Source organism: Homo sapiens, chromosome 19 (assembly GCF_000001405.40).
Source record: "Homo sapiens chromosome 19, GRCh38.p14 Primary Assembly".
NCBI classification, from domain to species: Eukaryota; Metazoa; Chordata; class Mammalia; order Primates; family Hominidae; genus Homo; species Homo sapiens.
This window is the reverse complement of record NC_000019.10, coordinates 22657735-22668911: the sequence shown is the minus strand read 5'-3', so window position 1 is coordinate 22668911 and position 11177 is coordinate 22657735. Positions and strand designations below refer to the sequence as shown.

The following is an 11177-nucleotide window of genomic DNA, read 5'->3' as shown; positions in this document are numbered from 1 at the left end:
ATTTACTTATATCCATCACAAAAAGTGAAAAAAAATAACATACGAAAAGTAGGCTTATATAGGGTTCTCCAATTAAATGAAATGTTCCAACTAAATAAAATTTAATGCACTAATTTTAGAATTACAGCTAAAAATTATTTTGTGTACATGACTAAGTTTATTTTATTTTGAGGTGGAGTCTTGCTCTGTCGCCCACGCTGGAGTGCAGTGGCACAATCTTGGCTCACTGTGACCTCTGTCTCCCGGGTTAAAGCTATTCTCCTGCCTCAGCCTCCCAGTAGCTGGGATTACAGGAGCATGCCACCATGCCTGGCTAATTTTTGTTATTTTTGGTAGAGATGAGGTTTCACCATGTTGGCCAGGTTGATCTTGAACTCCTGACCTCAAGTGATCCACCCACCTCGGCCTCCCAAAGTGTTGGGATTATAGGTGTGAGCCACTGCACCCAGCCCATAACTAAATTTCATTAAAATCATTCTTATAATCACAGAGCAGCTCACAAAATGAATACCTCATAAACTATAAAACAACAAATATATATCAGAAACAAGAAATTTATGGGCCTAGCATGAGTACCAGACAAGTGAAAACAAGAGAATTTGAATGGCAAGATTCTGAACCATAAGCCGTAAAATTATACAGTAAAATTCAATACAAACCAGAGTATAGATTTGCATTCATTTTTGAGGATTTTTGTTTTCTAAAAAAGTAGACACCTGACCAGGTGTAGTGGTTCACGCCTGTAATCCTAGTACTTTGGAAGATTGAGGCAGGTGGATCACCTGAGGTCAGGAGTTCAAGACTAGCCTGACCAAAATGATGAAACCCCATCTGTACTAAAAATACAAAAATTATCTGGGCATGGTGGCCTGCGCCTGTAGTCCTACCTACTAGGGAGGCTGAAACAGGAGAACTGCTTGAACCCAGGAGGCAGAGTTACAGTGAGCGGAGGTCACGCCACTGCACTCCAGCCTAGGCAACAGAGTGAGATTCTGTCTCCAAAAAAAAAAAAAAAAGAAAAAAGAAAAGAAAATTAGACACCTTATTAAAATGATGTCTTGTTCCAATATTATTCTGAAAATAGTTACAAACTCATACTCAAACACACTTAATCCATAATCTTCTTACACCTAAGGTTTATATTTAGACTAATAGATGTGTACATTTAACTCTATGTAAATCAAAACTAAAAGCCTGTATCTGTTTGCAAGTAGAGAGGCCACATATTCAAAGAAAAATATACAAGAAATTATTTTTATTTATTCAGGACTCAGAAATGTGTAAATTTTATACTTGTATATAATTTTTATTATAAAAATAACCCTGTAGTCAATAACAATCGTATATTTTAAAAAAACTAAAACTGTACAATTGAACTGTTCATAATACAAAAAATAAATTCTAAAGGTGATGGATACCTCATTTACCCTAATGTGATTATTACATATTGTATGCCTCTTATCAGAATATGCCATATATAACATAAATATTATATGCCTGAAAAAACTAACAAAAGTAAATTTAAATGGGAAAAAATAAATAAAAATTTTACCTACAGAAACAACATTCCTTATTTGCAGTTTAAAGCCACTGGAAAAAAGATTAGTACTACAGATGTTAGTGCATTCTTTTACCAAATAGTGTATTGTTACCACCATTTATTTTATTTACTTATTTATTTTTTGAGAGGGAGTCTCACTTTGTCACCCAGGACGGAGTGCCATGGCATGATCTCGGCTCACCGCAACCTCTGCTTCCCGGGTTCAAGTGATTCTCCTGCCTCAGCCTCCCGAGTAGCTGGGATTACAGGCATGCGCCACCATGCCTGGCTAATTTTGTATTTTTAGTAGAGATGGCGTTTCTCCATGTTGGTCAGGCTGGTCTTGAACTCCCGACCTCAGGTGATCTACCCACCTTTGCCTCCCAAAGTGCTGGGATTACAGGCGTGAGCCACCGTGCCCGGCCTTGTTACCACCTTTTACCTACACCCTTGAGTAAGGTGGACTAGGTTAAAGTAAGTGGAATAATGTGACTTGATTGAATGCACAATATTTAAACTGTTAAAAATGTTGAATTAAGAAATTAAGTTCACACATAATCTAAAATTTTTAACATGTACTGCATTTTCATAAAAGTAAAATTAGTAAAATAATATACTAATTTATTTTTAATTTTAACTAAAACTAAAAATTTGTCTCTCAATATAATGCAGAATATTACTCAGAACACCTACCTCATGCATCACTCAGTACTGTAAGTGAATCACAAAGAACCTCTTTACTTAGATTTTCATCATGCATTTTAATGTCCTTACTCTTTCATAGAAGAGGTCATAAATGCTCACCTAATAAAAAATAATCCTCATATCTTTTGGTCACATGCTTTCACATATGAATACAATAGGAATAAAGAAACAACATCAGGCAGGCGCAGTGGCTAACACCTGTAATTGCAGCATTGCGGGAGGCCAAGCTGGGCGGATCACCTAAAGTCTCGAGTTCGAGACCAGCCTGGCCAACATGGCAAAACCCTGGCTCTATTAAAAATACAAAATTTAGCCACGCATGGTGGTTTGCGCCTGTAATCCCAGCCACTTGGGAGGCTGAGGCAGGAGAATCACTTGAACCCTGGAGACGGAGGTTGCAGTGAGCTGAGATCGTGCCACTGTACTCCAGCCTGGGGGGGCGATAGAGCAAGACTCCATCTAAAAAAAAAAAAAAAAAGAAGAAGAAAAAGAAAAACTAATTTCCTTAGCATGAAGTAATTTGAGAGTTAATTACAACATTAACACGAAGTAATTTGAGTTAATTACAACATTATTTGTATGAAGTAATTTGAGAGTTATTTACTTTTAAAAAAAATCTGTAATCTTTCTAAAAAAAAGTATACTTGTAACTCTCCAAAAAATCTTCTACTCTTTTAAAGTTATAAACAAATAATTTTTCTGCCAAGTTTAGTTTTGGATTACTTTCTAAACTCAGAACTCTGATTCAGTGTAAAGTCTGAAGTGTCATTGCCTTATATATTTCTAACATAAATTCTCTGATATTTACATAAACTTACCATTGAATTAAATATTTTTTTCTATTTACTGTATATGCAAAAATATTTTAATATGAACTCTCTGGAATTTTCTAACCTGTAGTTTTTGAATAAATGTTTTTTTCTAAATTTATTACATTTACAGGGTTTTTCTTCGATATAAATTCTCTGATGTTGAACAAAGTTTGAGCAATTGCCTCAGGGTTTGCTCTAATACAGAATGAATACAACAAGATCTGTGTTACAAGTAAAGTTACCACAACTTCGTTTATATTTGTAATGTTTGTCTTCAAAATAAATCCTCTTCAGCACTTTAAATGCTTATTTTTTGAACTCTTTTGACAGTAATTGCACTTTTAATGCTATTAATATAAACTCTGATGTTGAATAAGATGTGCACAGATATTAATCACTTTTTTACTTTCTTTATATTTGTACATTTGTTCTCAAGTATAAAGGCTTTCCTGTGCAATAAGGTTTGAGCATTGTGTAAGTTTTGCCACACTGTTCATTCACACTTGTAGAAGTTTTCTCCAGAATGAATTACCTTACCTACAATCCAGTGTGATAACCATTTAAAGGCTTTGTCACATTCATATTTCTATTATTTCTCACCAGCACAATTTCTTTTATATTTGGAAATCTTTGCAATGTTGTCACAAGCATTGTTACAACTTTCAGGTTTGTAGAGTTTCTCTCCAGTATGAATCATCTTATGTCTGTTAAGAATAGAGGAGTTGTTAAAGGCTTTGCCACATTCTTCACACTTGTAGGGTTTCTCTCCAGTATGAATCATCTTATGTGTAGTAAGGTGTGAGGACTGGTTAAAAGCTTTGCCACATTCTTCATATTTGTAGGGCTTCTCTCCAGTATGAATTACCTTATGTTTAGAAAGAGTTGAGGACTGGTTAAAAGCTTTGCCACATTCTTCACATTTGTAGGGTTTCTCTCCAGTATGAATTATCTTATGTGTAGTAAGTTGTGACGATAGGTTAAAAGCTTTGCCACATTCTTCACATTTGTAGGGCTTCTCTCCAGTATGAATTCTCTTATGTGTAGTAAGGTGTGAGAACCGGCTAAAGGCTTTGCTACATACTTCACATTTGTAGAATTTCTCTCCAGCATGAATTCTCTTATGTGTAGTAAGGGTTGAGGATTGTTTAAAAGCTTTGCCACATTCTTCACACTTGTAGGGTTTCTCTCCAGAATGAATTCTCTTATGTGTAGTAAGGTGGGATAACTGGCTAAAGGCCTTACCACATTCTTCACATTTGTAGAATTTCTCTCCAGTATGAATTATCTTATGTGTAGTAAGGGTTGAGGACTGGCTAAAAGCTTTGCCACATTCTTCACATTTGTAAGGTTTCTCTCCAGCATGAATTATCTTATGTGCAGTAAGGGTTGAGGACTGGCTAAAAGCTCTGCCACATTCTTCACATTTGTAGGGTTTCTCTCCAGTATGAATTCTCTTATGTGTAGTAAGGTTTGCAGATTGGTTAAAAGCTTTGCCACACTCCTCACATTTGTAGGGTTTCTTTCCAGTATGAATTATCTTATGTGTAGTAAGGTGTGAGAGCCGGTTAAAGGCTTTTCCACACTCTTCGCATTTGTAGGGTTTCTTTCCAGTATGAATTCTTTTATGTGTAGAAAGGTTTGAGGTCTCATTATAGGCTTTCCCACATTCTTTACATTTGTAGGGTTTCTCTCCACTATGAATTCTTTTATGTTGAGCTAAGTGTGAAAGCATGCAAAATGACTTTTCACATTCTTTACATTTGAAAGATTTCTTTCCAGTATGTCTTATCGTATGTCTGTTTGAATTTGAAAATTTATGAAAGACTTTCACATATTTGTCACATTGAAATATTTTGTTCTGGGTAGTCGTCAAACACTGGTTAAGTCCATTGTAACATTCTTTGTGCACCTTACACTCATCCATGCTTTTACAGTATTTTCTTAACTGTAAATTTTCACATCCACATTTTTTATATCTTCTCAGTATCACTTTTTGGAAATAATTTTTTTTGCCCTGCTTTGGCCAAAGGTCTCGGGCAAAATAAGAACATACAACTGAAAGAAATAAAAATAATAAATTACTTCACTTACTGACTCAGACGAATGTACTTTACAAATCTAACCTATAAAATTATACAAACTACATCACAAGATGTTACAGCAAAATATTACACGCTCTAACATTTTCACAGACATATAAAAGCATACAGAACAAATTACATTTCTGAAAAATTAAAGTAAGTTAAGTGTGTGCAGTGCCCCAGGTGAGCCCAATGCAAAGAGTCACATAGAAGAAAGAAAAGTCTGTTACATTTACCCAGTGCAGATCTTCCTGCTTCCCTATATAACATAGTGACTTTAGAAATAAATTGCCAACTCCTGGTTTCATTTTTAAAAGACAAGTAAAATAATGGCTTATACATCTTTATTTCTCAATGGCAGGGGCTTTTACACTGGTTCCTGTGTCTCATTGCATAAAAGTTCTGAAAGAAATAGTGGTATTCTTTCAAATGACAGTTTGAGGCTGCTGAGATGAAAGGTAAGGTACCAAAACAGATATATAGACCAATGGAACAGAATAGAGACCTCAGAAATAACACCACACATCTACAACTATCTGATCTTTGACAAACCTGACAAAACACAAGAAATGGGGAAAGGATTCCCTATTTAATAAATGGTACTGGGAAAACTGGCTAGCCATATGTAGAAAGCTGAAACTGGATCCCTTCCTTACACCTTATACAAAAATTAATTCAAGATGGATTAAAGACTTAAATATTAGACCTAAAACCATAAAAACCCTAGAGGAAAACCTAGGCAATACCATTCAGGACATAGGTATGGGCAAGGACTTCATGACTAAAACACCAAAAGCAATGGCAACAAAAGCCAAAATTGACAAATGGGATCTAATTAAACTAAAGAGCTTCTGCACGGCAAAAGAAACTACCACCAGAATGAACAGGCAACCTACAGAATGGGAGAAAATCTATGCAATCTACCCATCTGACAAAGGGCAAACATCCAGAATCTACAAAGAACTTAAACAAATTTACAAGAAAAAAACTAACAACCCCATCAAAAAGTGAGCAAAGGATGTGAACAGACACTTCTCAAAAGAAGACATTTATGCAGCCAACAGACACATGGAAAAATGCTCATCATCACTGGCCATCCGAGAAATGCAAATCAAAACCACAATGAGATACCATCTCATGCCAGTTAGAATGGTGATCATTAAAAAGTCAGGAGACAACAGGTGCTGGAGAGGATGTGGAGAAATAGAAACGCTTTTACACTGTTGGTGGGACTGTAAACTAGTTCAACCATTGTGGAAGACAGTGTTATGATTCCTCAAGGATCTAGAACTAGAAATACCATTTGAGCCAGCCATCCCATTACTGGGTATATACCCAAAGGATTATAAATCATGCTACTATAAGGACACATGCACACGTATATTTATTGCGGCACTATTCACAATAGCAAAGACTTGGAACCAACCCAAATGTCCATCAATGATAGAATGGATTAAGAAAATGTGGCATGTATACACTACAGAATACTATGCATTCATGAAAAAGGATGAGTTCATGTCCTTTGCAGGGACATGGATGAAGCTGGAAACCATCATTCTGAGCACACTATCACAAGGACAGAAAACCAAACACCACATGTTCTCACTCATAGGTGGGAATTGAGCAATGAGAATACCTGGACACAGGGCGGGGAACATCACACAACAGGGCCTGTCGGGGTATGAGGGGCTGGGGGAAGGATAGCATTAACCCATGGCACATGTATACCTATGTAATATAACTGCACGCTGGGCACATGTACCCTAGGACTTAAAGTATAATGAAATAAATAAATAAGAAAGGTAAGTTTTACAGCAGCAGAAAGACTGTGGTACTACAGACAGGAAACAATTATAGCAAGTGATTATTGGTTATTAAGAAGGAGTTTGGTGGTTCAAACCTGTAATCCTAGCACTTTGGCGGCCAAGGTGGGAGGATCAGCTGAGGTCAGGAGTTTGAGACCAAGCCTGGGCAACATAGTGAAACCCTGTCTCTACTAAAAATACAAAAGTAGCTGAGCATGGGGTCACATGCCTGTAATCCCAGCTAAGTGGGAAGCTGAGACCAGATAATCACTTGAACCAGAGAAGTGGAGGCTGCAGTGGGCTGAGACCATGCCATTGCACTGCAGCCTGGGTGACAGGAGCAAAACTCTGTTTCAAAAAAAAAAGAAGAGAAACACAAATAAACTCCTCTGACTAAAAACTAAACACAAAATTTTAGACAAGGCAGATCCTAAGAACATGTTTGAGAGACTCCCAGAATCTCTAGCCAAGATAATTGTTTTCAGACTATGTCAGAAAAAAACACATTTTAAAGACTGTGACAGGTAGCTTTTTTTGATGTCCAAATCTCATTCCAAGATTACAATGTATACAAAACAGGGCAATATAATTTCATCAAAAATACCGTATAAACTTCAGAAAGAAACCATAAAAAAGATGTACACATTTTAAACACTCATAAGTTGAATAATATCCAATGAGTGAAACAGGAACACAGTCCACTGTAGAAAGTCACAAAAATGAGAATAAATACAAGAATATCAAAATATTAAAAAAAACAATTTGGTGGTAAAAAGTAGAAAAATAAACAACTGGAAAATCCTAAAAGAAAAATGATGTAAAAATGAAGTTCAACAAACAAATTAGGATACACACACAGATATTTAAACAGATACATATTAAGCACATTTTCAAAAATCAAAGACAAGAAGAAAGTCTTAGGAGCTACAAGGTAAAAGTAATGTGTCATTTACAAACATAGTCTTATGATATTACCAGTGAATTATCAACAAAAATTCTGCAGATCAGAAAGATACCGTGTGACACAAAGTCCTGAGGGGAAAAAAAAAAAAAAAGCTATCAAGTTGAGGATAATACCATCAACAAATCTGTCCTGCCACATAAAAAGAAAAAACCTTCCAAAACAACCAAATTCTGAAAAAGTATATTAGCACTGCATATGCCCTACATATAAAAGATGATGAAAGCAGTTCCTTAAACTGAAAGTAAAAGTATTAAAAAAAAAAACACATAATCATATAAAAATACATTATTTTCCAGGAAAGATATGCACATACATAAAAACAGAATCTTGTGGCATTATCATAATGGTGCAGAAAACATTTTAAATGATCTCTAAATTTTGAAAAATAAAAGCACAGAAATTATAAACAACTGTTAATGAATATACAATGTAAAAACATAATTAGCAACATCAAAGACAAATTTCAGGGCAGATGTAATGAGGAAGATTTTTTTATTCAACTGAGATTTATTTTATACCAAATTAAAACTATACTGTTGTTTCTTATAGAAGTTTTATGCAACCCCCAAGGTGCCACCAAAAAAAAAAATCTGTACAAATATACAAAAGTGAATTAGAAATAAGTAAAAGCATATCAATACAAAAATCAAAAAGACACAAAGAGAGAAAATGAGAAACAAAGATGCAAGAATCAAATAAAATAATTAAAAATGTAACAGTCCGTCTTTATCAATTATTTAAATGTATATATAAAATTAACTTTCAAATCGAGACATACTTTCAACAGATTAAAAATTTTAAAAACCAAGATCCAACTTTTTTTTCTACAAGAGTCAGTAGAGATCTAATGATAAAAAACACTAAAAGGGGCAAGATGGAAGAATACATTTCATGCAAATATTAATCAAATGAGAGCAGAAGAAATCAAGATAGTATTATGCAAGCTACATCTTAAGTCAAAAACTATCATATTTTACAAAATGTACTTGAAGTTAAAACTCCAAGGAGACAAAAAAGGACATTAAAACTTACAGATTTAGGCTGGGCATGGTGGCTCACGCCTGTAATCCCAGCACTTTGGGAGGTTGAGGCAGGTGGATCACTTGAGGTCAAGAGTTCGAGACTGGCCTGGCCAACATGGTGAAACCCTGACTCTACTAAAAATACAAAAATTAGCCGGGCATGGTGGTGGGCACCTGTAATCCTAGCTACTCGGGAGGCTGAGGCAGGAGAATCGCTTGAACCTAGGAGGCAGAGGTTGCAGTGAGCCGAGATCACACCACTGCACTCCAGCCTGGGACACAGAGTGAGACTCTGTCTCAAAAAAAAAAAAAAAACAACAAAAAAAAACCACTTCAGATTTACTCACTGGGAACCTATGACAAATCTGTATACACGTCTCTCTCTCTCTCTGTGTGTGTGTGTGTGTGTGTGTGTGTGTGTATCTCACATTAGGGCTCCAAACATATAAAGCAAACATTGACAGAATAACAGAGACACATAGAGAGCAACATAATTATAGTAGGATATTTTGACACTGCATTTTCCGTAATAAAAATTAAATGAGAATATTAGTAAGGGAATAGAGGACTTCCAGGCAGTGTAAGACAATTATTTCTAACAGAGGTATAGAAAACACCCCTCAACACCAGGACACACATGGTTCTCAATAGCTAATACAACATTTTCCTTGATAGACCTCCTCTTATTACAAAAAGAAGAAAATTAAGTCTTACCAGTTTTTTTAAAACTGAAATTTTATAAATTACTTTCTATCACCAAAATGAAATGAGTATACAACGAGAAAAAAAATCTGAAAAATTAACAAATATATAGAAATTAAACAACACACTCTTGAGCATGCTCTTGTGAAAGGCTGAAAAAGGTAATACTGTAAAGATGTCCATCCTGCTCAATGCAATCTACAGATTTAATGCAATGTTTTTCAAATTTCTCACTGCATTTTTGAAGAAACAGAAACAGCAATCCCTCGAGTATACAGAATCTCTACATACAATAAAGTACCCAAAAATATTAAAAACAAAACAAAACAATGTTGGAGGCATTACAGTTCCTGATTTCAAAACACAAAGCTACAGAATTAAAACAATTTGGTATGACTATAAAGGTGAAAAAGTAGACTAATAAAATAGAATGCAGCACATATATAAACTCTCACATATATGGTCACATGAAGAGTCATTTGCATACCCACATTTATTTTAGCATTGTTACTAAAAGCCAGTAGGTAAAAGCAAGGCAAATTTCGGTCACCAAATCGTTCAGCAGATATAATTTGAAATACAAAAATGCCAATATATTACTCAGTTTGAAAAAAAGCAGGAAATATTCTAACAACTATAAAGGTAAATCTTGATGACTTTATGCAAAATAAAATGAGCCAGCCACAAACAGATTTTATGAGATATATAAAGCAGTTATACTCTTAGAAACAGAAAACAGAACGGTATTTGAAAAGTGCCAGGAAATGGGAAAAATTGGTAGTTGTTTAATGTGTATTGTAAAATTTCTAGAAATCTTTTATAAAATAATGTAAATATACTTAACATGCCTGAAATGTACAGTGTTTTTGAGTCAGGGTCTCACTCTGTCACCCAAGCTGGGGTGCATGGCACAATTACAGCTCACTGCAGCCTCAAACTTCCAGGTTCAAGTAATCCTCCCTCCTCAATCTCCCAAGGAGACAGGACCACTTCACCATGTCTGGCTAAGTTTTAAAATGCTTTACAGAGATGAGGTTTCCATATGTCTTCCAGGATGTTCTCAAGCTTTTGGGCTCAGTCTTCCTGCCTTGGCCTCCCAAAATCCGGGGATTACAGACGTGAACCACCACCATGACTGGCCATGAAATGTACATTTAAATAGATTTAAGGTGGTAAATTTTAGGTTATATGTTTATACAATTGTTTTTTAGAAGAATAACTGAAGAAGATCCAGAATTATAAATCTTTCCAAAAATTACCGTCAAGTCACAAAAGTGTTTCCCTCACACATAGGAAATATGTTTATTATTAAACACAAGGTGAAAATAAGACTATTTCCATGACTACTCATTTAGACAAGATAAAGCCACCATTAAAAATCAGCCAAGAAAAAATATATACAAGATTAGCCATAACCAAAATTGGGGTCATATTTATAGATAAAAACACACACACATATAATCAGATTGTAATAGAGATAAGGCTGATCTATCTCTTAAACCACACACCGACTTACATGTAAAAACAGAATTGCAAATTGTCTAAA

At 35.1% G+C, this 11177-nt stretch overlaps 1 protein-coding gene across 3 annotated transcripts in view; it reads right to left on the bottom strand.

The window, feature by feature from the left end:
* Positions 1–1240: 1240 nt before the first annotated feature.
* The window catches only part of ZNF492 (zinc finger protein 492), a 33348-nt gene continuing 23411 nt past the window's right edge, over positions 1241–11177 (bottom strand). For all 3 annotated transcript variants that reach the window (NM_020855.3, XM_047439130.1, XM_047439131.1), the window contains one exon: positions 1241–5112. In NM_020855.3, the coding sequence (NP_065906.1) occupies positions 3647–5112 (1466 nt within the window). In that variant the 3' untranslated portion in view covers positions 1241–3646. The remainder of the gene's footprint in view (positions 5113–11177) is intronic.